This window comes from Homo sapiens, chromosome 5 (assembly GCF_000001405.40).
Source record: "Homo sapiens chromosome 5, GRCh38.p14 Primary Assembly".
NCBI classification, from domain to species: domain Eukaryota; kingdom Metazoa; phylum Chordata; class Mammalia; order Primates; family Hominidae; genus Homo; species Homo sapiens.
In genome coordinates, this window is record NC_000005.10 from 138,951,738 (window position 1) to 138,979,200 (window position 27,463).

General features: G+C 47.1%; 1 protein-coding gene and 1 long non-coding RNA gene across 6 annotated transcripts in view, besides 1 other annotated feature; one reads left to right on the plus strand and one right to left on the minus strand.

The window, feature by feature from the left end:
• SIL1 (SIL1 nucleotide exchange factor) overlaps window positions 1-27,463 on the minus strand; it is a 251,645-nt gene that overhangs the window by 5,014 nt on the left and 219,168 nt on the right. For all 5 annotated transcript variants that reach the window (NM_022464.5, NM_001037633.2, XM_011543570.3 and 2 more), the window contains one exon: window positions 51-147. In NM_022464.5, coding sequence (NP_071909.1) covers window positions 51-147 — 97 coding nt within the window. The remainder of the gene's footprint in view (window positions 1-50; window positions 148-27,463) is intronic.
• LOC124901079 (uncharacterized) lies at window positions 145-24,202 on the plus strand. Its single transcript, XR_007058954.1, has 2 exons — window positions 145-10,484; window positions 10,597-24,202. It is a non-coding gene; the product is annotated as an uncharacterized LOC124901079 (long non-coding RNA).
• Window positions 1,641-2,578: an enhancer, noted in NCBI's record as "H3K4me1 hESC enhancer chr5:138289067-138290004 (GRCh37/hg19 assembly coordinates)". NCBI's record gives its function as "activates a minimal SCP1, AML or CMV promoter by ChIP-STARR-seq in naive H9 embryonic stem cells {active_cell/tissue: H9 hESC(naive)}" and the evidence as "EXISTENCE:reporter gene assay evidence [ECO:0000049][PMID:30033119]".

Here is a 27,463-nt window from a genome sequence, read left to right on the forward strand (position 1 = left end):
CCCCACACGTGTCCTGGAGGCTGGGCAGGAGGAAGGGCATGGAAACACACCTTCTTCTTTGCAGTGAGCGGCTGCTCCGTGGCCAGGATGACCAGCAGCTTCTGCAGGGCTCCCCCTTCGATGGCCTCCACCTGGACCTTGGGGTTGCTGGGGAAGAAGCACAGGACAGCATGACTACCCTGCCCAGCCCAGGGATCGGATGGTCAGGGAACTGAGCCCATGTCAGCCATCCCTGGGGAGAAACAAGAACAACAGAGGTTCCCACACGGGGCAAGTCAAACTCAGCTGGGGAAACAAAGACCATCTGGCACAGACCCACGTGGGAACAGCGGCCCACAGCACAGGTGACAGGGCTGAGTGCTCCCATGCCAGCCCCCACTCCCCAGCAGCCAAGGGGCTGGAGTGGGCTGGGAAGGTGAACAACCTCTACTACTGTAAAGACATTTCGATGCCGAAGGTGCTCCTTCAGCGTCCCTCCCGTAGGAAGCCTTTCTTGGCGCTTCCCAAGCCAGTGCCGGATGTTCCTTCCTCCATGACCCAAGCACATCACACACTGGGGCAATTACTAATGGGTCTGTTCCCCTCTGGGTCTGGTGCCCCAAGGCCAGGGCCCCATCCCTCTCCTCTCCTGGGTCGGCACTCAGACTGCACATAGAAAATGCTTGCGGGAGAAGGCAGGAAGAAAGTGCAAGAGACAGGAGCCTCTGAATACCCAGGCAGATCCTAAAACAGGACAACCCAATGCCTCCCACTGGGCTCCCACTCTATAACAGCAGCTACTGTCAGCTTCTCTGCCCTGTATTCTCAGCACTCAGCACAGAGCCTGCCACGTCACAGGTCCCTGGACAGTAGGGAATGAATGAACGACTGAACGAACGAACGAATGAACAACACGTGTACACAACCATGAACATATCAATAGATAAACATACTGCACTAAAGTACTCAAAACCCTGAGCTGCCTCTGGAACTCCTCTCCCCATTCTGGGCTAGAGAAATAGTGATGTGATTAAAACATTTCAGGCCCAGACCTCCCAGATGAAGGGATGAGGGGCCTGGCGGGGACCCCCATCAGGGCAGGGTGCCATGCAGGGGACAAGGCCGGGATCCCTCACAGGATGCCCTTTTGCAGGCTCCTTGCTTTTCAAGATTGCATTAGGGATCAATTAAGGAGCAAGTGTCAAGCACAGGGACCAGATAGTCAGGCCCTTGGGCAGGTCAGGGCTCCCCTCTCAGCAGCCCACATGTGAGGCCCCAGAGAAAAGAGGGGACAGGCACACAAAAGCCTGAGGCCAACAACAAGTGAAGGGGCCAAGCCAGCAGTCAGATGGTGGCTGTCACACCCATCCAACTAGCCCACAAAGGACACCGCAGTCTACCAAAGCCACCGCATGCCTCTGGCTGCCTGCCCTTGGCATGACCACAAGCTCCCAGAGACCCAAAAAGCACCTGTTCCTCCTAACTCCCAACCCTCCTGGCCAGGGGGCCCTCACGGTGTCCTTGAGAGTGAGCCAGGGTATAAGGAAACAAAGACAAATCAGAAGGAGCTGGCTCCTGGTCCTAAACCCAGAAAAGACACACTGTGCCACCGTACAGGAGAGGGCCCGACACACAGCAGGCGTGCCCCCAAAGCTGGCTGAATGGAATGAAGATAGCTCCCCACTTCTATTCTGACCAGGAACAAGCTTCAAGGTCCAGAGCAGACCGAGCACGCTGAGCCAGCTTTCTAAAGAGAAAAGCTCCTTTGTACCACGTGTCACTCTGTAGCCTCTCAGCCAGAAAGGAAGTACAGGGTGGGTGCCAGCCCGTCCCACAGCAACTCCACCCCTGTGTCTGCAGAGCAGCCTGGAGATGGGCCAGAGTCCCTGGGGAAGGGAGGCTGACAGCTCCTCTCCAGATAGGCAGGCAGGCGCTGGCGCAGGGGGGCCTGGGAGCTGAGCTGCTCCCCTGCCCCCCACGACTTGAGACAGGCAGCTGTTTCATCAAAGCATGAGCTAATTAGGGCTGTCTCTGCCATCATGTGCCTAAGGAACGCTCACCCATGACAGGAGGGTCCAGGAAGAGAAGACGACCACGCTGAGAGATTCACACAAACATCAAATGCTGCTTCCCCAAGGGGGCTGAGAGATCTGACATCGCATCAGCCTTTGGGAGCACTGCCAAGGAGTCCCATCCCTCATGGGCCCTCAGAGCAGCAGAGACAAGGCCCTCCAAAGACAGCACAAAGCTCATCACAGCACCCCATCATCGCAGCCTCAGTTAATCACCCAGGGCTGGGCAACCAAAGCCCTTCCACTTTCTGCACTGTGACCAGGGCAAAGAGAAGTCCCTTCTCTTCAGAAGGTGGGCTGATGTGGGTCGGGAGCCACCCACAGCCAAGCCAGCAGCAGCCCAGTCCCACCCACTCTGTCCCCCTCAGGCAGGCTCTTCCCACCCCATTTAGAGTAGGAGAGAAGAGAGCTCCAACATCAGATAAGTAAATCGGAGAGAAAAGAGAAAGTCTGACCTTTTGTAAATTGCTGAAATCAGGTTCATAAGGCAATAAATTCATGTTTTCACCCACAGCCAAGTCTGTGGGTACGGCAGGACCATGGGCCAAACATGGGCTGTGACAGTGCACAGCCTTGGCAGCCCTGGGCCCATGCCCTGCCTGGCCTCTTCACATGATCAGCTTAAACGAGGTACCCATGGAACCCTGGGAACTCCAGGCCTTACCCCAGGGTTCCCACAGCTTCAGGAGTTTCCTAAAAGGCCACCCTGTGAAGTGGCCTTTTAGGGCTGCCCAGGCAAGGGGTTGAAGAAACACAGCAGAGGAAGAGGGGGAAGATGAGGCTTGCGCTTCCAGCTGCTCCTCAGTCCATCCAGGCAGGGCCAGTAGAGCTGAAGGTTTCCTGAGCAATCACCCACCAAGGGTAGAATCTGCTCCTAGAAACAGACCCTCTCGCCAGTCAGCTCTGCCTTGGGCTTTAAATGCTCACAGCCTGGGGCTGGGGGAGGCAACTACCAAAACAGCTCAGAGTGAGGCCTCTGGATGTGCAAGGACCAGGGCCTGCAGGACCCTTGCTGGGAATCTCATAAGCAATGAATGGCTCATGGCCTTGGGCAAGTTTTCACCTGTGAGGCAGAGCTAGGACTACCCATGTAAAAGACAGAACAGTTAATGAATGCCAAAATGCCACACTGCTAGCCAATGCACTGTGGCCAAAAGATAATTACAGTAGGCTCACTACACAAAGAGGCCAGACCACATCTTTGAGAGCACAGCTTTATTTGGCCTGGATGCCTCGAGCACATATCATGTATGGCAGCCCCATCCTCCTCCAGCCTATGGACTCTGGACCAGAGCTGCGGCCCACCCCTGGAGGGACCAGTCCTGCTGGCTGGAAGGTAGGTGTCCTGACAGTTGGGGATCTGAGTTAAGGGGGCGGGGGCCTGGCACGCCTCAAAGTGACATCAGTGGCGCTGGTGTGCTCAAAGTCAACAGAAGGATATTAAGGACGTAGCTCATCTCCGATGCGATAAATGAGAATAAACCTTGTTCAGGGCTAAGCCGGCTGGACTAAATAAATACCATTAGCACTTGGATTACTGGGATGTTCACAATCAGCAGGCAAGTCAGCTGTCTGTGTGCAGAGGGACGACAGCAGCTGCTACTCTGTAAATCTTGCAGGGAGATGGGCTGGGGGTGGGGCAGGCTGCAAAAATGGAAGTGATTGCATTTGCAAAAACCAAAGAGTTTGGGTCAGGGTGACAGCAATTTGGGCAATCAGCCAAGAGTCAGAGGTCATATTTTAGCTAACTGAAGCTAAGCAAGTGTCTGGGTGGAAGGGGACTGAAGGAGCTGACCACAGGGAAGGCAGCCCAGCTCGGCCAGGGGGCCCAGGAGATTGCTGCCCAGCACACACCCCGGGGCTGACTTCACCCTTGGGCTCAGGGCTGGCTACATAATTTTCAGGCCCAAGTGCAACATGAAAACGTAGGGCCTTTTGTTCAAGAATTATCAGAAATTTCAAGACAGTGAGAACAGAGCATGAAGCCAAGCACGGGCCCTTTTGAGTGTGGGGTCCTGTGCCGCTGCACGGGTGGCAGGGCCAACAAGGTATGTGCACGGAAATCCTGCTCCAGGGTCAACCAACCGGAACAACAAGGGCTGAAAAGTAAGCTTGAATTTCTGAAAAGGAAAACAACTGGAAAAGGCAGAGCTCTAGGATGGGAATAAGGATGAGGGTGACTAGTTAGATGGGGGCCAAGGAAATGCTAAGGTGTAACTGAAGAGAGCTTCTGTGATTGAGACTGCCAGGCCAGACCAGGACACCAGAGGCACAGCAGAGGGATGTGCTCACTCACGCGTCCTCGTGACATTTCTAAGTGCAACAAATACTCTTTTCATTCCCTTAGAACAGGAAAAAACTATTATTTTTCTTCTGAAATGCCTCTGAGATGATGCCATGCACTGAGGGCAGAGGGCACATCTCAGGGGTATATGGGGCCAGGCTCAATCATTCACCTGATGAAGTGCAGCTCACCTTCTTGCCCAGAAAGAAAGATTTCCTCTGGTGGCCCCACCTTGCTTATGCCTTAATGTGTGGCCTCCATCATCTGGGAAAGCAAGAATTTGCAGGATGTGTAATCCTGAAATAGATGGGTTCAAGAGACATCTATATTTGCCTGCCATCCAGGGATGAGTGGGGCTAGGTAATCAATCAGTTAAGATACAAACAATTGGCTGGGCGCAGTGGCTCACGCCTGTAATCCCAGCACTTTGGGAGGCTGAGGCGGGCAGATCACTTGAAATCAGGAGTCCAAGACTAGTCTGGCCAACATGGTGAAACCCCGTCTCTACTAAAAATACAAGAGTTAGCTGGTGTGGTGTCAGGCACCTGTAATCTCAGCTACTCGGGAGGCTAAGGCAGGAGAATCGCTTGAACCCAGGAGGTAGAGGTTTCAGTGAGCTGAGATCACGCCACTGCACTCCAGCCTGGGCAACAGAGCAAGACTCTATCTTAAAAAAAAAAAAAAGATACAATTACCGAATTGAATAAAAATGGAATAGGTTTAACAACAACAACAACAAAAAACAAAAAACAAAACAAAAAAAACACTGTACAAATCTTCCACTACAAAGTCAAGCTTCCAGGAATAACAAAACACATGAGCTGCACATCACTTTGTGTTGGGACCTGTATGGCCTCAGGAGTTCCATCTGGACACTGGGGAAAGGCAGGGCTATCATCTGACCCCTTCATGTACAGCCCCCAACTGGAAGCCACCCACGTAAGCAACTATGAGACACCCACTCCTCACCACAGTAACAGCAACTCACAAGAGGGTCTCTAGACCCTACTGACAGACACACACACAATACACACACACAGACACAATCATCTGCCCACCTCTGAGGAGATAAAGGGAACCTCAGAGGGAGGGGCAGCAAATCACCTTCCTGAGGGTCATCTGGTAGCTCTCCAACACAGCCCTGTGTCACAATCACCTGGGCAGTTTATTTCCTGAAACCATTTCAGACTAGTGCTTTAAAAAATTACAGAAAATAGGCCAGGTGTGGTGGCTCATGCCTGTAATCCCAGCACTTTGACAGGCTAAGGTGGGAGGACTGCTTGAGTCCAGGAGTTTGAAACTAGCCTGGACAAGGTGGTAAAATCCCCGTCTCTGCAAAAGTAAAAAAAAAAAAAAAAAAAAATTGCCGGGCATGGTGGTATGCACCTATGGTCCCAGCTACTCGGGAGGCTGAGGTAGGAGGATCACTTGAGCCCAGGAGGCTGAGGCTGCAGTGAGCTATGGGCAACAGAGTGAGATTCTGTCTCTCTAAAGAAAAAAAAATTATAGAAAAGTAATTACACAAAAAAATGACTTACTGGAAAGCTGCAAGAATAGTAAATAAACTCCCATCCAGATTCACCAATTGTGGACATTTACCACAATTTTCTGTCTCTCTTAATATTTACACAGATTTTCTTTTTTAAAATATTTGAGAGTAATTGAAGATATGAAGACCCTTTACCCCTAAACATATCAGTGTGTATGTCCCAAGAACATAACCAAAGTACAGTGATCAAAATCAGGAAACTAACACTGACACAGTAATCTACAGATATTTATTCAGCTTTTGCCAGCTGTCCCAATAATAGTCCTTACCCCCCACTCTTTCCTCTTTTTAAGAAACACTTTTTTTTTTTTTTTTGTAGATGGGGGTTCTCACGATATTGCCCAGGCTGGTCTTGAACTCCTCCTAGCTTCAAGCAATCCTCCCGCCCTGGCCTCCTAAAACGTTGGGATTACCGGCATGAGCCACTGCACAGAGCCCTCTCAATAATATTGTTTTTAGAAAAATAATTTTGACCCCACGTCCGATTTATGCCCATACGATGTACACAGCAGCCTGTCTCCTTGGTCTCCTTTCATCTGGAACTGTCCCTTAGTCTTGTCTTTCATGACACTGACATTTATGAAAAGTGCAGGCCAGTGGTAGAATGTTTCTCAGTTTGGATTTGTCCAATGTGTTCTAATGATTAGACTGAGGCTGTGGCTTTGGCAGGAATACACAAACACAATGCCGTATCTTTCTCAGTGTATCACATAGGAGGGCAAGTGATGTCCATAAGTCTCACAATTGGATGTTTTCTTTGCATACTTGGTTATGGTGGTATCTGCCAGATTTCTCCACTATAAAAATACTATTTGTTCCTCTGAAATTAATATTTTGTGGGGAGACACTTTGAGATATGAAGACAGCCTATTCCTCATCAAACTTTCATGTAGTCGTTTTGGCAATCATTGACAATTCTTGCTTAATTATCCCAGGTTAAGCATCTTAAGTCCAAAAATCTAAAATCCAAAATGCTCTAAAATCTGAAACTTTTTGGGCATCAACATGATGCTCAAAGGAAATGTTCATTGGAGCACTTTGGATTTTGGATTTTTGGATCAGGGATGCTCAAGTGGTAAGTATATAATGCAAATATTCCAAAAGCCAAAAAAAAAAAAGAAAATCCAAAACATTTCTAGTCTCAAGCATCTCAGATAAGGGATGTTCAACCTGTACCATGATGTTTGTCAAATGATGATATTCAAACTCCTGTCTTTATTTTTCTTGTTTCTATCTTTATTTGCTGGCATTCTACCTAAAAGAAGAGGTTTTCCTTCTTTCCTATTTCTTCATTCATTCATTTACTGGTATCAGTATGGATTAATAGATTCTTATTTAATCTATGGAATGGCATCCATTTCTATCATTTACTTCAATGCTCAAATTATCCTTAATCACCAGGCATTTTCATGCTGGCTTCTGTGTCTTTTTAACATGTTTCCATCACCCTTTAATATTTTCTTACCTTCTGGCACAGGATGTTCTTGTACAAGATATTGCTCTTTTCCCGTGCCAGCCATGGAATCAGCCATTTCTCCAAGGAACAATTGGAGCCCTTTTTGAAAATACAGACTCCAAGCCCTACCCTGCATATACTAAATCATAATCTCAGAGAACGTGGCTCCGAAGACCTGATTTTTCATAAATGCCACATGTGATTCCTACGTTCTGAGGACAAGCATTTGGGATAACTAGAGTCAATGCTCAACCTTTTATCCAGTATAGCATCTCTGGTAATTGGCAGCCCAGTACTTGAAGACTACATCATCAAACAAGGCAGCTTTACGCTAGTTTAAAACTCCTCCAATTGCCAGAAAAACATATTCTGATACTGAGCTGAAATCTGCTCTCATGAAGCTTATACCCTCTGGTCCTATACCCTCTGGTCCTAAGTCTACCCTTGAAGAAAGAAAGGGTTGCCTGATCTTGTCCTGACAGGTCAGCCCTTCTGAAAGTTGGGAGCAGCCAACCATCCAGAGAAAGCTCCCCTCTCACAACGTGGCCTCACGGGATTCTGCAGTCATTCTCAGGGTGACTCTTGAAACTCTCCACTTTCCTGACAATGCTCTATGGGACCCTGTTCCACTTACTGATGAATCCCTACAGTGGTGGTGCCCAAACCTACCCTCAGGGATCCAGGCTGGACAACCCCCCACCCACAGTCCAATGGGCCTGGCTGCCTCTGCCCCAGGGCCACTCTGCCCCTAATGCCTCAATCTCTAGATTTTTGTTAGTAGCCTCACAGAGCTTACAGTGGCCTGCCTAGGTCAAATCCCTAAAGGCTGCTCACATGATCTTCTGATGAGCCAGGGGGTCCCCAACATGGCTCTGAAGCCAAGCACAGGGCTTCGATTTTATTCTTACTAAAGAATAAATATTGTCAGGAGGCAAAAAGCAAATTACAAATGGTATGGGTGATATGACACCATATATTTATTTCTGGGTGGTGAATTTTTGTTTTAAACAAGGAATCTGAATTACTTATAAATTAGAAGTTTAATAACAATAAAATTTAACATGCCACTTGGCTACCTAGACCCTTCCTCCTAGCCTGTCACTATTCTTTTGGATTCTCACTGTCATGTATCTTACATGGTTATCTCTTCCTGATCCGTGCCATCTGTTCCCACATCTTCACATGAGAACCAGAATGCAGGTTAGACAGACAGAGTCTGCCACAAGCTCTTTGGCACATCACTACAGTGAAGGCTCTGTTGACATTGAACCACTTGAACCATTTCTAAATAAACATTGATTAAGTCTGATTGTTCAAGCTGCTACAAATCTACGTCTTTTTTTTTTTTTTTTTTTTTTGATTCAGAGTCTCACCTCACTCTGTCACCCAGGCTGGAGTGCAGTGGCGCAATCTAAGCTCACTGCAACCTCCACCTCCCAGAACTCAAGCTTAATTCTCATGCCTCAGCCTACCACGTAGCTGGGACTACAGACACACACCACAACACTAACCACCATGCCCAGTTTTGTTTTGTTTTTGTTTTTGTTTTTGTATTTTTAGTGGAGAGAAGGTTTTGCCATGTTGGCCAGGCTGGTCTCGAACTCCTGGCCTCAAGTGATCTGCCAGCCTTGACCTCCCAAGTGCTGGGATTACAGGCGTGAGCCACGGCACTCGGCCTCAAATCTACGTCTTTATTATCATTTCTCTATCTGATCTATTAGATTATTATGAGATTCTGTCAAATGATTTCCTGAAACGCAGACTTCCTCTGTGTCTATTATACCGGCCTAATCTGCCAGCCTGGCAAATCTTATGAAAAAGAAAATTAGAGTTGGGAGGAACTTGAGACAGTCTTCTGGGGTACTGATAATGTTACATTTCTGGATCTGGGTGGTGGTTACATGGGTGTCTCCACTTTCAATAATTCATCAAGTAGAATGTGTTAAACTTTTCTATATGGAGGGATGGGGGAGGGAGGACTTAAGCATTAAACTAGTCCAGCAAGACCTGGTTTTATGGAACCCACACTAACTCTAAGAAATGACCTCTTTTCTTTAAAAATACTCTTAAGTCACATCTCAAAAACTTGCTCTGTTATTTTGAAAACCAGAACAGTTGCCCATTGTGTCTCCTTGCCCCTCTCCCAATCCCCATAATGCCATAAAGATTTCTGCACACAGTTTGATGATGATGTCCCTAAGTTTCTGTCTGGCATTTAATTTTTCAGACCCTGTCTAATTTGGAGAAGCCAGTGGTTCATTTACACTTTTTGTACACTCCTGGTCTCAAGTTCCACTTAACTCTATGTTTGTTTTACTTTCTGCAGGAAGGCCATTCTCCTTGAGAGAGAAGGCAGAGGCAAACAGAATAAGCAGTAAGGACAGAGATGCCCTCTATGGCATCTGCTAAATCACCTGATTGAACCAGGTGGCCTAAAGCCTTCCTTGCCATCCCTCTCACTCTCAACAGTAGCTGCACAGGCGCCTTTGTTGTTCTTAGTGTTTCCCAGGTCTCACCCATCTGGTGCTCCTGACACTGTTCTCGGAGGTTGCATCCACTTCTCTATTTGCTCTTGGTTACAGGTCCCTTTTTCATCTCTAGACAAAATCTCAGCTCGAACTGTGCCCCCTGAAGCCATGTGGGTCTCTTTAGGTGGCTCCCTGTTCCCTGCAGTAATCACTCGTGACTCTATTAAGTACACTTCATTTTTCAAACTCTAAGTCATCTTTCCTTTTGAAGCTCCTGTTCAGACATCATATCTACTTTTTCCTGGACCCTCTGAAATTTACTTTCCCTAAAACTCAGAGGCAGAGAGTTTTACCTTCCCCTTTTAGCTTCTCCAAACACAGTCACTTTCTGCTGATGTTCTCTAGACTTTTTTTTTTTTTTTTTTTTTACCAGACAGATCCTTCTTGTTGCTCAGAATATAATTTCAGTGAGGCCCTTCTCCTTATTGCTTCCTTAACCTCCTGAGAGAGAAAACTGTCAGAAAAGAGAATTAAGAATTAAAGCAAGTGAAGAATTTATTGGTTTCTTTTTTTTTTCTAGAAGATTTCCAACTGCCCAGATACCCCGTGCACCACGCCAGTTTGCTTCTGTGCCAGTTTTATAATTTCAATTGAGAAAGCCTCTTCTACACGGAGGGTAAAGAGTTGACAATTACCTCAGAGTTGATTGGTTGGTTAGTTTTTTGGTGGGCTAAAAGCCAATGACCTGGACTTTTTCCATTTTTTTTTTTTTCCTCTTCACCAAAAAGCCCAAACCCAGGAAGCAAAACACTGAGTGCTGCTCTGGAGTCAGAGAGACCTAGGTGAAAGTCCGAGATTCTAGTGTTTTCAGCTGTGTGACTGAGGTAAGTTACTAAGCCTCTCTGTACCTCAGTTTCTGCATTTGTAAAACAGGGATTAATAACAATAATATTTATCTCATGGGATTGTTGCGGGGATGAAATGTGATTTTATATACATAAACATACCCAGAGTTCCTGGCAAATGCCAAGCATTAGGATAACAGCTGTTTTATCATAATATACCATTTAACAAAAATTATTATTTTTACTTTTCTGCTAAGACAGAATGCCAGGGTTTTCAGGCTTCTCAGAAGGGAGAGGAGCTATCTGTGTTGGGGGACAAAGAAGACCTCCCACTGAGTGGCCTTAGATTCCCATTCTCAGCTCCTCTGACTGGATAGACAAAGCCAGTACAGAAGGAATTCATGGGGGAGAAATGTAATTAACAAGCTAGAGGGAGAGATTGGGAGGAAGGATCAAAGCAGCTAATTAGAACTGGCTAAAGGGAGACCACAGGGTAGGGAACATGGAAGAAAGCGGGCTAAAGAGAATTATCTGCAGCCTCTAATTATTCAAAGAATGTCCCTGAGTAATTGTCTCAGGCAGTCTGAGGGAGGCAAGGCAGGAGTAACAAGGTTAAGCAGAAGAAAATTTAAGCTAAAACATACGGGAGATTTTTCACACACTGAGATTTATCAACTTTATTAGAGAACACAGAGGATGTTATTTTAGGTCTTCTATACTCAGTTGGTGGTATAACTATCCCCATGTCTGGTGGCTGGGGGAGAGCGGAGGAGGCCAGACCCTGCAGGGCAAGAGGGGATCCAAGGAAATGGCCCACACAATCCTTGCTCCAAGCTTATAGGCAACACACCTTGTCAACCCGCCCTTTGAGGCTCAGGAAAGAGCTTCCTTCCTCACTCAGATCTGCACTCCCTCCAACCTCCACATCCCCTCACCCTCCTTGTGTTCTGTCATAAACTTGATAAACATGATAAATCTCACTGTGTGAAAAATCATCTCCTCAATCAGAGCCAGTGGAATCACGCAGGGCCTATTTTGCGTTTGCCACACAACTGTAGGAATGTTTATGAATGAGCCATCTCTTAATAGCAAAAGAAAAGGCAATGATCGTAGGACGGTCTATAGCTGAAAATGACAACACTGAAATACTTCGTTTACAGGATTTGGAAGTCGTATAGACTACAAATCTCTCTGCTGTGCAACACACATAACAAGTCCCCAAAATATCCTTTGTTTGCTGAGGTTTTGCTCAGATATTTAAGGTTCTGACAGTTTAAATATGGTGAACAATATGGTGAACCATCCAAATATTTTGCATCATTGGTATTTGGAAAGATCTTTAAGAACAATTAGTTCTAGTTCAGAGAGGCAAGTGCAGCACCCAGGCTCCCGGTTTTCCGTGGGGGCGGATCAACATGGCCTCCTCAGCTAGCTGCATTTCACAGGGAGTCTCAGGCCCCCCTAGCATGGGTTTCCTAGGCCTGGCCACTTGGCTCACATTGTAACAGAGAAGAAAACTGGGCAGATCCGCTGACTCCTCAGCTAGGCGCGGGGTTCACCAGGTCTCACTGGAGGCTGAGAAAAATACAGAGCTTCCCGGAAGCAGGAACAACACTGGGAGGCCTGACCTTGCTCAAGGCCCTTTGACCTGACTCACCAGACCGGAATGGGAACCTAAAGGAAAGTGGAGACTTCCCATTCTGTGGAAATCTTTAAGAACTGGAGAAAAGTTCCAATTACTTACAGCTTCAAGGGACAGAATGATGGATGGCTTTGTTTGCAAACATGCTATTTGTCTGAGGCTCTTTGTCCAGTCAGCTGGTTGACAAATACTGATCACGCCCAGTGTGCACAGGGACCTCAGTTAAGAATACCAGGGCTAGAGCAAAGAACGAACATAGTTCCTGTCTCTATCAGACAAAATTAACAGCCGACAGAGACGCGCAGAGAGCCACTCTGAGAGAAGCCACTGGGTGCAAGGGTTGTCTGAAAAATGGAGGAGCTGAGCAGGAGGGCATGCTGGAGGAATGACCTTGACAAGATCAAAAGTTATTAAAATAGGAGGAGGAAAGCTAAACTTCTGTATGTACTGCCCAACTGAAGGCAGATGAAAACCTCCTTTTTTCCCCAAAAGAAAATGTTAAGAATCACCTTCCACAGACTCTTTTAACTCTATTTCTGATAAATCATTAAAAGGCCTTCTGCTGGAATCACTCAAATACCAAAGAAAAAGTTACACTCGTAAAATAGTTAATGTCAAAACGTAAATGGTTTGTTTAAGATTCAGCAATTGTTGCTGAATCAAACACAAAATCTCTATGGCTTGAATAGCAAGGGAAACAAAAGGCTTGACGATTTAGTGCTCGTTAAAGCCTGTCTGGCTGAATTTTAGATTGCAACTTAAAAGAAAAAAACATTAAACCAGTTCAAGTGTGAACTGACATATGCACAGCAGTTTTCAGCTGCCTGCAAATGGGGCAAGGACACAGCCTGGAATGTGACTTGCACACGCCATGGCTGAGTATGGACCAATGTCCAGGGTACAAGGGCAGGGCCTGAGGGAACCCGACAAGAAAGCGTGGGGAAGCTGAGCCCAGGGGCCCACCAGGGGCTGAGGGTGACGCTGGGAAGAGGGCCAATCCCCATTAGCTCTTTCCTGCAGGGAGGCTGGGGGCTTGAGAACAATCAAATGCTAGGCAGGGGCTTCCCTCTTGCCTGGGGAGGTGGGGAAGCAACAGCTTTTTGCTGTCCCTCCCCTTTTCTGGCCTTGCTTGTCAGACACTTCCATGAGCCACAGTGGGACTCCTGCCCTTTCAAATCTCATCACAGGCCTGGTGACCCCCACAACCCTCAAATCGGGTGTTAGAAATAGTCCTTTGTGGTAGGTTTGTGGGGTGCTGAGCAGAATCTTTGTCTACATTCTCTTGCCTACTGGGATATAAACGCTTAAAATTTCACCATCTGGGATTTACTTCTTTGAGTCTTAAAGACAATTCTGTCTTTCAGGGTCCTCTATTAAAATGCCATTGTCCCTGGGTTGGGAGGACCCTGTATAAGTAGGGTGACCACATAATTTATTGTCCAAACCGGGACACTTTTGAGAGTGAAAGGGGCACAATTAATTACTGCACTGGGACAAGAGGCATAAACAGAACATATGGTCACTCTCTGTATAAAGCTTTGTGTTAAGTTCTATGGAAGACACAAAGGTGAATAAAGCACTTTCATGGTCCTGGAACCTGGACCTTGAGCTGAGGGGCAGGAGATCCTGGGAATAGGCTAACTCTAGGCACCCACGGAGGGGGATAACAGCACTCCAGAGGGAAGTGTCATGGCAGCTTAGCAAAGACCAAGGGCTCTGGAGCCACACAGATTTGACTTTGAATCCTGGACTTCTTTCTGTACAACCTTAAGACAGGTCAATTAACCTGCCTCTCAGCTCAAGGTCCAGGTTCCGGGACCATGAGAGTGCTTTATTGACCTTTATATCTTCCATAGAACTTAACACAAAGCCTTATACAGAGAGTGACCATATGTTCTGTTTATGCCTCTTGTCCCAGTGCAGTAATTAACTGTGCCCCTTTCACTCTTAAAAGTATCCCATTTTGGACAATAAATTATGTGGTCACCCTACTTATACAGATGAGGACCCAGCTTCCTCATCTGTCAAATGAGGGTTACTTCATGAGGCTACCGAGGATTAAATGAGATACCAAATGTAACAGTACCTGGCATGTAATTTTCAACAAGTTCAATATTGCTAGCATAATCAAGACCAGCCTTCCACTCAAACCCCCGTTACTGCTGGAAATGTCCCAAGTCAGAAGGTGGGGGCAAGGCAGGAAGAGAAAACCACTAAAATGGCAGACTTAGTTTAGCTTCCCTCCAAACTAATCCTCCAAGGGCCACCACCCAGGGCTGGGCAGTGAAAGGACCAGGATCACAGTAGCTCCTGAGGAGTGGACCACCCGGCCGCCTTGCTCTCCTGGTGCCCCTTCCTCCTGGTCTTAGGCTTCACACACTGACCCAGCCCCTCAGCTACTGCTCCATCCTCAACTCCTGGAGGCAGACACCACCCACCAGGCTTCCTCAGGCCATTTCCCTCGGCGGGCGGGTGTAGGGGGGTGGTGACTTTCCAAAGTGACTGAGCCCTGTCCTGATGGCCGGGTAATGCTGTCTGGTGGGCACTAGTACATCTTCCTGTGCCTCTTGTGACAGAAATGCCAAAAACAAACAAAACAAAAAACCCGCAGCCCCTCATCGCCATGAGAGGAGGGGATTCTGGAGGCCACCATTTAATAGCTCTCAAGTGCTTTTCAAGCATTAAATCATGCCATCCTCATGACAACTCAATGAGGCAGACACCATTACTCCCATTTTGCTCATCAACAAACTGAGTCATAGAAAGCTAAGTAATTTTCCCAAGGTCACATAGCTAATAAGTAGCAGAGTCATGAAAGCTCTAGAATAGGAGCTAAGAAAACTGGATTCCACTGGGGACACGCCGCAAATTACTAGCCTAATGGCCAGGAAGGAGGCCTTAACTTATCTCAATTTGACTTCTATTATTTGTCAAGAAGCTGTGCTACTTCACCAATGGACCTGCTGTGAGTATCGAGTGAGATAGGGCAGGTGAAATCACTGTACAGGTGTTTACTATTATGATGCCCTGGCAACATCCTCCATCGTTGTGTTTCTGAGAGCTGGACCCAGTATGGAGGAGGAGAATCCTGGTACCCTGCTGTTCTTTCCTCCCTTGGGCCCTGCACACTCTGGCTCAAGGTAAAGGAGGAATTACTCTAAAGCAGTGGTTTTCCAAGTCTGATCTCTGGGCCAGCAGCACCAGCAGTATCTGGGAGCTAGTTAGAAATGCAAATTCTCAAGCGTCACCCCAGACTCACGAAATCAGAACCATTAGGGGAGGGGCCTGGCCATCTGCATTTTAACAAGGCTTCCAGGTGCTTCTGAGGCATGCTTAATTTTCAGAACCGCTAGGCTAGAGTATCCCTGGACAGATAACAACCTGGGCCTCTCTCACCCTGGTGGGCCTGAGGCAGGACCCAGCATTGGCCAGAAGACCCAGGCCGTGAGGGCCACTGCCCCAAAGATGAAAAGCTCCCAATAAAACCCAGACCTACATGGCTGCACTGATCAAAATACAATAAAGAAGAAAGTGAGAAATCTGACAAAAAGAAAACGCAGCTTCAGTGGGGGTCAAAATACAACAATCTTCTGTGGGAGATGAGAAGCATAAAAGGGACGTTAGATGTTCAAAGAACCAAATGTCACAACGACAAAAAATACAAGAATAAAGACAAAGTGTGGATATCAATGCCACATGGGCCTCAGTCTAATGATGGCAGTTGCAGGGAACAGCAGCCCCCCCAGGACTAGAGCCTGCTTTCCCCCGCCCCCAACACGACAGCCTATATAAATAGAGTCTTGAGGAAAAAATTACCAGCAATTAGTCATGAATCTGCTTGCTGGAATGAGGAGAAACTTGTGGAAAGTCACCAGAGGCTCTGGTGGGAAAAGCTCAGCTAAGGAGGCCACGCAGACAGGGCAAGAGCAAGACGACTAAGGGAGAAGGCCTGTGGGGTGTTCCTGCAACCTTTGATGCCTTCCAAGTCTTAACCTGGAAGGGAAAATGAAGGGCCTGGCCACTGGGCTATAACGAGCTCCAAACTGGGCCCACATCCAAGTCGGAAGTCCTTTAATGTGTGCTTGGGCTGGAGGTGGGGCAGGTGAATGAGGAGGAAGAGTCAGCATAGCAGGCCCTGCCCTGGGTTGCAGGTACCTTGGGGGGATGAGGCGGTAGAGCACAGCTTCTGACCACAGTGCCTCCACCACAGAAAGCCTGTGCCACACAGGTCCTCCCCTGGCCCCTGGGGAATATGCTTCAGAAGCAGTGACAGCAGCAGGCTCAGCGTTTCCATTCAAGAGGTCTGCTGAAAATGACCCTGTTTCAGGACCAAAGTGATGAGGAGGGAGGACCTCTCTTGCCCCGATGAATTTCTCAACTCATCTCCATCGACAGAGGAATCTCAGTGTGCTGTGTTCCCCACCGCCTCTGCCTGAGCGCCCTGCCCCTGCCCGTCCCCATCTTCATCTGGCCAGTTCCTACTGCAAGAACCCTTCAGACACGATCTCCTCAGAGAAACACTCGCTGACCTCCTGACCCTCACAGGGCCCCTGCTATGCATTCCTGGGGCCCTCCTTCTTTCCATCCTCTTAACAGACCTGACAAGATCAGCTTCCCCTCCTAAACCATGAACTCTCTCAAGGACCTGGACTGTGCCTTGTTGTCTGTTCAACTGTGACCTCACTCTAGATGGTAGAGCCCAATGCCCAGCATGCAATTAACAGGAGCTGCCTGCAGACACAAGGCTGGCTCTGTGTCCCCTCCCAGCTGAGACACTGAGCCCCAGCACTAGGCACGTGGATGGGTTGGGCACATGACCTCCCTCCCTTTCTGAGCACCTTGCCCATTCCAAGAGCTCACGGAATCAGACTCCGCGACTGCCCTGAGTTCTGACTTCTCTCCCCATCTCCCTGCACTTTGATTCTCTTGACCATGGGTCCTCCTCACTGCATATCCCCTGCCTGCTTGAGAAAAGGGATGCAGCCCAGATGGTCAATAACCCCCTGAGGTCCTCCTCCTAGGAATGTCTGTATTTGCTCACAAAGAGAAGTTTATATATATAAAACCAAGAAACAAATTTCTAATGGTATTAATTGAATTTTAGGCAGTAGCAGAAAGAAAAAAAGATTTGGGAAGCAGGGAGTTTCACTTGATTCCTGAAATCACCTCTAGTAGGTAATGCCCACCTCTGCTGTGTCTAAGATCAGCCCTGACTCAATCTTAGGATTAGGCACCGCCTGCCAGCCATGGCAGGACAGTCCACAGATATGTCCCCAGGTGGCCACTGTCACCTCCTTTCAGCCTGACCTCAGCTGGCTGTCCTCCTTGACAACAGTCCTCTCTGGCTGAAGACTGGAAACTGTAGGCTAGAGCTCCTGCTTTCCTTTCTGGGACTCTAACACAGTACCAGCCCAACTTTCCATGCCTCTGTCAGGTCAGCATGGTATCAGAGATGGCTGTTTGGCCACTCTCCTCCTGCAATAATACTCCACGCTCCACCAACCCCTGTTCCATCTGAGAGCCACTCACAGTCAGCTCTGCCCGAGGTCCCTGATAGATTGGCTGGTGCCAAGGATCCATTGAGGAGATGGCACAGAGCCACACAGGGGAGCAACAACATTGGAAGAGGGCAAGGTCAAGTTGACAAATACCATATACGATCAGAAAGAATTGCATGAACCGCAGTGGCATAATGTAGCATAACAGATGGATAATTAGATTTATTCTAAGAGCTGTAAAAGTAAGTAATTAAATAAAAATATGGAACAATGAATCTGCCACAGAGAGACATCTAACAGCCTCACAAGGGCCTTGCAGCTGGCACGAGCAGCCTGGGAAGGAAGCAGTGGGCAAGGAACCTCTAACACTGCCCTGATGTTTTAGGCACAATAAATTTAGCACCAGCTCACACTGGGCACAAGGGGACAGCTTGATCTCAGAGGGGGATAATCACACCCATGGCTGCAACAGTACTGTGCCCTGGGAGTATGGCCTCTTGTCTGCATCTGGAAGACAGCAGCCTGAGGTATTCCGATAAATGCCCCACCACTGGCATGTTTGGAAAGGCCCCTGCAAAGCAAGACTGGCAGATTGTATTTATCTTTGCAGAAGCAGAGGCAGAGAGGAAGGGAGATGAAAATGTATGCACAGATGACAGGATTCACTGCCACCAACAAAGGCAGGCTGGGAGACCCAGGTTCAGGTCTCCACTCTCCTCCCAAAGGATGGTGGCAGATGGTGAGGGTACAGTTACCACATAAGAAACACAAGGCAAGCACCCAATGTGTGCAAAGCAAAGTGTTAGGTACAGGATTTCACCAGGGAAGCAGCTTCCCTGGACATGACATTAGCTATTTGGAAGCAAACAGATCAGTTGGAAGTTGTTTTGTATTAGTTAGGACTCTGTTTTTAAGGGACCAAAATGAAATTCAGAGGAATTTGAATTCCTTTGAATTCCTTCCTCATCTATGGAAAAGAGAGTGTACTGGGTCCCATTATGAAGAGGCATGACAAAGGTAAAAAGCACAGCTGGGTCCAGAGGCTTAAGTAATGTGCCAAGGCCCTCTCTCAGCCTGCACCTCTAGGCTTTGCTTCTCTCCAGTTTTCTCCCTGTAAACAGCCAATCCCAGCATAAAGGTAACTACATCCTCCCAAGTGGTATAGAATTCCAGGGAAGATCCTGGCCAACATGGGGAAACCGTCTCTATAAAAATACAAAAATTAGCTGGGTGTGGCGATGCGCACCTGTAGTCCCAGCTACTAGGGAGGCTGAGGCAGGAGAATAGCTTGAACCTGGGAGGGGGAGGTTGCAGTGGGCCAAAATTGTGGTGAGCCAAGATTGCGCCACTGCACTCCAGCCTGGGCAACAAAGAGCAAAACTCAAAAAAAAAAAAAGAATTCCAGAGAAGAACTTTGATTGGTCCTGCTTGTGTGACACACACACCCCTGGACCAATTACTGTCCAGATGGAAGTGATACTGTGAGTGGCAAGTCTAGATCACATGACCAGCCCTAACTGGGAAGGGAACAGGTGGGGCATAAAGATTAACAGCCTCACCACACCATGTGGCACTGGTGAAGAGATTCCCAAAGGAAAGGAAGTATTATTTTCCAAAGAGGAGAACAGAATGTGTTGAGAGACCAAAAACAACATAAATCAAGAGCCTTCATAGCCCACCACATTGTTTTATACCACCCCAGGCCAAGATACTAGATGATAATTGACTATCTGGGGCTGGAATGGGAGGTGGCCAAGTCTATTAACAGTCTGGTTGGAGATTTGTTTGCAGAGATCCCATGTGACCTACCGGCTTGAAATGCTCCAAAGGCCCTGCTGCTTGTACTTCTAAAAGCAGCCCATCCTTGTAGACCTGCCCCTGAGACCATGCACAGGACTTTTTCTACTTCAAACAGCTCCACTTAGGAAATCTACACAGCACTAAAAGCATAGTGAGGAGTTCCCCCAGCAGCCAACTCTTTGCAGGGTTTTCTCACCAACTAACTTGAATCTTCTTCTCAGAGCACAGACCATAAAGATTAACTCCCCTGAACCTGGAAACCTCAGCACCTTTGACGGGGGTCAAGAGCGGGGATGAGGCTCAGCCCAGAGTTGCTCCCCATTCACACCAATGGTTTCACAGGATAGCTCTCTATTCCAATATACCCCTACATCCTGGAGAGGGAGGGAAACTCAGCATAATAGCTGCAAAAGTAGAAAACTTCCCACATCCCCAGCACCACAAAAGCTGCCACTTTGCTCAATGCCTAGCACAAAGGGCTCACAGTGGGGCTCTCCCCACAACCTGGCTTGAAGGAAGAGAGGTCCTTGGCCTTTCCTCACCTCCAGGGCCCACGGCACACTCTTCTAACATCCTCACTGGGCTCCAACCAACAGGCTCAGTCATCTCTCTGGCTAAATATCAAAGCAGCTTCCCTTCTCAAGCGTGTCCAAAACTCAGGTCTCCTTCAGGCCACACAGATGACACCCTCCAAAAGCCCAGAATGAGCTCTGTAGGGTCCCTGGGGAGAGCTGAGACATAGGAGGCCTCGTTGTTCCAAGGCCAGCTGGGGATAAGGGTTATGGGGACCTTTGGAAGCCAGATCCAGCAGGAGAATCATGAGGCTTCAGTTCCTGAGCTCTGCACATTCTTAAGTGATTCCGTTGACTTCACCAACAACCTGGGGCCCGCCGAAAGCAGTGGTGCTAGCCAACATCTGGTCACCAAGTTCTTTCTGCCACCATTACTTGTCCACTGAGCCTGTCCCTAGAAATGCAGAAAGACAAAGCTCAGCTCCCATGTGGAGTACTTAAATGCTCTAGCCATGCCTGGTACTCACAGCCACATTTGAAGGTCTGGTTCAACGCAGCCATGCTGGGTCCAGATGTAAGAACCTCAAGCTGGGCTAAAAAGCAGCTTTCCCATGGGTGAACCCTCTGGCTCAGAGCTCCTCAGGCTGGCTCTGCTGCTGCTCCACACATGCCACAATTTACTACAGCTGTTAAGAGCCCCAGAGACAAGAAAGCTCCTCCTTCCCACTTGTTCCCTGCCCTTCTTCAGCACAGGCTGGAACCAAGCACCAGCCAAACCTGGAGAGAACCTCAGAAACTATGACCCCACCCCACAAACTGAGCTCACACAATTTTTCTTGAGCCACAAACTAATTTTTGTTAATCCCAGAGAAACAGTTCAAACAGCAACTAACCTTTTTCTTCCTTCACAACTATTAAACTTGGACAAATACCTCAAAATAGTACATGAACCAAGAGTTTAATCCTTCTCCCCAGAGGCAAAGAGAGGACTATGTGGGTAACATGAGGGTAAAACCCTGGGTCCACCAAGTCCAGGACAAACGGGTCCTGGGTCCTCAGGCAAGGGGGACAGAGGGGCAATAAGAGCAGAAGGGAGGACAACCCAGGGCTGAGGCCCCAGTGATGGGGGTAGAGAAGCCCTTGTTCAGTCCCAGCATGGAGCTGAGGCTGGCCACAGTATTCCTACAGTACAGCAGGAGCGACACCTGCCTGCCACCTGGCTGAAGGGATCTGGGCAAACTGATGAGTCCACCCCCAAGCCCAAGCCAATTAAAGGTTATCCTTATACAATTAAAGGTTGTGTAACATATGTAACAAACCTGCGCGTTGTGCACAGGTACCCTAGAACTTGAAGTATTTAAAAAAAAAAAAAAAAAAAAAAGGTTGTGTAAGAATAAAGTGGCCCAGAGAATGATCATGAATGCTAAAACACAGAATCCAAAGGGCTCATGCCAGAAAACCCAACAGCAACTTCTGTGTCTTATTTTATAATAAGTAATTTAAATAATTATAAATCATGTAAGTTCATGGTAAAGAAAAAAAAAATCAAGCAGTATAGAAGAGTGCAAAATAGAAAGGAAAAGTCCCTGTTTCTCAGACCATCAGAGGTAAGAGCAGAGTTTTTTCTTTTTTCTTTTGAGACAGGGTCTCGCCCTGTCACCCAAGCTGGAGTACAGTGGTGTGATCACAGCTCACTACATCCCTGAGCTCCCAGGCTCAACTGATCCTCCTGTTGCAGCTTCCTATGTAGCTGGGACTAGACATATGCCACTGCACCTGACTAAATTTTTTTTTAATATAGAGCTGAGGTCTCACTATGTTACCCTCAAACTTCTGGGCTCAAGTGATCTTCCCGCCTCCCAGAATGCTGGGACTACAAGTGTGAGCCACCGTGTCCAGCCTTGACTAATTTGTTGTTGTGATTGTAGAGACTAAGTCCCACTATGTTGCCCAGGCTGGTCTCAAACTCCAGGCTCAAGTGATCCTCCTGCCTCAGCCTCCCAAAGTTCTAGGACTACAGGCATGAGCCATCACGCCCGGCCCAGATTTTTATATCACATATTTAAAAATATATGTGCAATATAAATTTATATATAAATCTTTACCCATTTACTTTTTATATGAATGGATCACGCTTCTACACATGCTATTTTCAATGTAGAGACCCTACTCTCCAGAAAGAAGAGGCTCCTCAGGTCTCTCCGTGCACCCCTTGATATCAAATTGAGCAGCAAACAGAAGAGAACAGGGGTGGCTGGTCATATTTTAAAAGACTCCAGGATACACTAACATTCCAGAACCAAAAGCTAAATCCAAAGAGCTCCTCAGGAAAGCGTGAACTCGGCTGCAACGGGGTCTCTCTCTACAGGCCAGGGAGAGGGAAGGCAGCCTTTATAAACCGTTCCTCTTGGGCTCTCCTGCCTGTGGCTGTTAGCTTCACCTCCCCCAACTTGCCATCTGAGGGCCTTCATTCTTCACTGTCATGCCTGTCACCACCTCTGTCCTCCCCCTTTGGGCCTGCTCTACAGCCTCCGCACTGCTCTGAAACATCACCACTGGCAGGACTGTGCAACTGAGAACAACAGGAGATGACCTCACGGCCTTTACATTCTAATGCCAGCTCCCAATTACTTGTACTGTTGAATAATTGAAAGAGGAGAATAATCCACTCAGCTGATTTGGGAAGCCAGCCAGGCACACAGATTATCTCAGAGTGAATTATTCACACTAGGGATAATTGGGAGTTGCCCAAACTTCTATTTGTAGTTCAGGCATCACGTGGAAGAACATTCGGTATGGAAAGTATGAAAGCTGGAGAGGGAAGGAGCCCCTGTTTCCGGGCCTGGGTTTCCTTTATGTTGCTTGGGAAGTCAATGCTCCTCTCTCGGTCTCACTCAGAGTCGGTGAGCACAATGATGATGATGATATTAACATTAACAATATTTTAGTGACAGCTCTTGCTGTATTTCCTTACAATGTGCTGTGTTCTGTGCTATGAGCTTCATGTGTATCATCCTACATTATCTCATTTAATCCTCACATGAGTCTGTGAAGCACCACTGTCTTCTTCATCTCTGAGCTGAGGAAGCTGAGGCTTAGGTTAAGTAACTTGCCCAGAGATATACAGCAACAAGCTGTATGTCCATCCATAGACCAGGATCTTACTCAAGAAGTTCTTTTGCCACACACCTCTTACCTCTCCCACTTTTAAGAGTCTTCCTTACACAAGACATAAAACTGTAAAGGATAAAAACACCCCATTTTTAGTATAATACTGTCTACTCTCATCTTGAAATTACTGGATTTCAAGGTAAGAAAAATGGCTCCCTCCTCTGAAGGTTGGCAAGAAGCCTATAGGAAGGGGCTGGTCAGCTGGTCAATCCATTTCGAGAAATCCAGTGTCTGGAAGCACAAGCCACTGGCAGACTTCCAGAAGAGCTCAGCCTTCTCTCATGATCAAAGACTCAAAAATGAAACCACTGTCCTCCCCCTGACACGCCACCACTTCAGCCAAGAGGCAGCTACTGAGCTGGGCAGCTCAGCACCGTGAGGCCAGAGCATGGGGGAAGGGCATAGGCTCAGTGAGCTGCAAGGAACACCTGCCTCAGACAAGGGTCCATGAGGTGACTGACTGTCCCTGCATGTGTGGGGTCTCCTTCCACAGTGCCTAGGACAGAGTCCCCAGATACTAGGTGTGGTGCCAGTCTCCAGCACGGTCACCGGCGATCCCCACCAGCGATCCCAGCCTTTGTGTTGGTGCCTCCCACATTAACTATAGATGATCTATGTGACCAAAAGAATAAAGAGGAAGTGATGATGTCGAATTCTAAGGCTAGGCCACAAAAAGAACTGAAGTTTCCATCTTGCTGTCCTATGTTGTTCACTCTGGGGGAAGCCATGGGGAGACCTGCACAGCCCTGTGGAGAAACTCACAGAGAGAGAAACCGAGGCCTCTCACCAACAACTGGCACCAACCAGCCAGGCGTGTAAACTGGAAGCAGATTCTCATACCCAGTCAACACCCTGCCTACATTTCCAAATTCCTGACCCAAAGAAACAGAAAAATAATAAACTATTACTGTTGTTTTAACCCACTACATCTGAGAATAATTTGTTATACAACAACACATAGCTAATAAACTGGACAAGAGGGAAAAGAGCTGCTTCACAGCATTGTTTCCAGAAGTGTGACGTATCCATAGAAGAACCAAACCTGGTGTCAGGGCCAGAGGCCACCAAAGGCCCTGACTAAGCCCCTAAGGTCTTAGAACACTATATGAGAAAAAACAATGACCTTCACGGCCCAGATATTCCAGCCCTCCAGTCAAGGAAAAGCTTGCAGAAAATATTCACGATGCCCATACCTCTGCCTCCAGTCAGGATGACAATAACAACAATATTAGAAGCTACCATTACTGAATGCTTACTATGTGCCCGGTGCATGCTCAGTATTCTTATATTACCTCTCTTTTTTTTTTTTTTTTTTTTGAGGCGGAGTCTCACTCTGTCACCCAGACTGGAATGCAGTGGCACGATCTCAGCTTACTGCAACCTCTGCCTCCTGGGTTCAAGTGATTCTCCTGCTTCAGCCTCCCAAGTAGCTGGGATTACAGGCACGCGCCACCATACCTGGCTAATTTTTTGTATTTTTAGTAGAGACGGGGTTTTGCCATGTTGGCCAGGCTGGTCTCAAACCCCTGAGCTCAGGAGATCCACCCGCCTCAGCCTCCCAAAGTGCTAGGATTAACAGACTTGAGCCACCACGCAGGCCATTACCTCCCTTATTCTTCATTGCAATCCTCAGAGGAAGCACATAGTAGGGACTCAATAAATATTTGCTAAATGAGTAAATAAACCACCATTAGGAGTTCGTCTCTATAACTGATCTATGTCCTTTTGGTATAATTTCAACTTTCTATATTACGTATTACTTTAACGTTTGAAAAGCTTACACTGAGAATGTATTACTTAAATAGAGGAAACAATATATATGAAATTAAAAAAAAAATTTGTAGGGCAAGCAAAGCTCTAATCATTATGTGCCATCCATCACGTTTCCCAGAGAAGTGCACCTCCATCCTGAGCTGACTCTCTGAGAGCTTCTCACACATCCTGAGCTTCTCACACAGCTTCTCAAGAGCTACCTGGATCCACTAGAAAGCCCATTCACACAGCACCCTGTGTTGCTTGACCCTCCAGATTGTCCTCCAACTCAGAGGAAGGAAGTAGGTATGCTGCTAGCTGGTGGAAGTGGCAGGATTGCTCTACTCGTCTCAGGACCAGGTGCCATGGCCAAAGACAGCCCCAGCAATTGAAAATCAGGCAGACATCACGGTCCTGAGTCTGGACAGCCACAATCTTATGATGAGAGTAGCCACAAACATGGAGAGACATGAAGCTTTCTGACTCTATATCCTAATCTGGGGAACAATAATCTTCCCAGTTATGAAGCACTATCATGGCCATCAGATCTACCACCCAAAATCCTGATGAGAGGAGGTGACTTGAACTAGATACCAGGAAGAGCTTCCTACTATCAGAGATTTAAGATAACAAGGTAGGCAGTGCTGTAGTCTGAAACCATGAAGAGTTCCTTCTCTCCCGCAAAGCAATCAGAGGAATCTTTTTTTTTTCCTCCTTTTTTTCTTTTTGACACTAGGTCTTGCTCTGTCACCCAGGCTGGAGCACAGTGGTGCAATCATAGCTCACTGCAGCCTCAAACTCTTGGACTCAAGCAATCTACCTCCCTCGGCCTCCCAAAGTGCTGGGATTACAGGTGTGAGCCACTGAGCCAAGCCAGGGGATCATTTTTAAAATGTAAATCAGATCTTGTTACTCCCTTAATTAAATGGCACCAGTGGCTTCCTGCTACCCTTAGAATAAAATCCAAATTTAGTTCACCTAGGTCTCTAGGTGCACTGCCAACTTCGCCAACCTCACCTCTTCTTAGTCTTTCTTTAGCTCACTCCATTCCAGCCACACTCACCTTCTGGCTGCTTCCTCAACTGGCCAAGCTTGTCCCTACCTCAGGACCCTTGCAACGGCTATTCCTGCTGCCTGGAAAACCCTTGGCCTAATGTACATATGGCTGACTCAATCTATATTTGAGTTGAGGCCAGAATGACATCTCTTTGGAAAAGTCTCTGTAACTAACTCATCTAAAGAACCTTATATCATCCTATTTTATTTTCTTCATAACACGTTACTGACTTAAAAATGCTTTATTGAGGTAAAATTCACATACCACACAATTCACCCATTTAAAGTGTACAACTCAATAGCTTTTTGTGTATTCACAGAGTTGTGCAACATATCACAATTTTAAGGCATTTTCATTGCCCCCCCATACCTATTACTAGTGCCCCCCGCAACTCTCCCCAACCCCCACTCCCTCAGCACTAGGCCCTACAGATTTGAATATTCCAGACATTCCACAGAGATGGAATCATCCAGTATGTGGTGCTTTGTGACTAGCTTTTTTCACTCTGACTTTTTAAAAGTTTCATCCATTCATAACATGTATCAGTACTTCATTTCTTTTTATTGCTAAATATTCCATTGTATGGATATACTACATTATATTTACCCATTTCTCAGTCAACAGATACTTGGGTTGTTTCCACTTTTTGGCTGTTATGAATATTGAGGCTATGCACATTCATGTACAAGTTTTTGTGTGGAATATGGTTTCACTTCTCTTGGGTACACACCTAGCATTGGAATTGCTGGATCACATGATAACTCTATGTTTAACTATTTGAAGAACTAGTAGTGTTTTTCAAAATGGTTGGATCAATTTACATTTCCACTAGCAGTATATGAGGGTCCCAATTTCTCCACATCCTTGTCAACACTTGTTATTATCTATCTTTTTGAGTATACAGTGTTCTCTCATTGTGGTTGGGTTTGCATTTTCCTGGGAGTTAATGATGTTGAGCATCATTTCCTGTACTTACTGCACATTTGCATTATCTTGTCTGGACAGCTGTCCATTCAGATCCTTTGCCTATTTTTTAATTGGGTTGTCTTTTTATTGTTGAATTGTAGGAGTTTTTAATTACGTTGTTTTCTGTTGCTGAGTTGCAAACATTCTTTAGGTATTCTAGATAAAAAGTCCCTTACCAGATATATGACTTGTAAAAATTTTCTCCCATTCGGTGGTTTTCCTTTTCACTTTCTTGATGGTATCCTTTGAAGCACAAGAGTATTTAATTTAATTTAATTTTATTTTATTTTTTTTTTGAGAAGGAGTCTCGCTCTGTCGCCAGGCTGGAGTGCAGTGCATGATCTCGGCTCACTGAAACCTCTGCCTCCCGGGTTCAAGCGATTCTCCTGCCTCAGCCTCTCAAGTAGCTGGG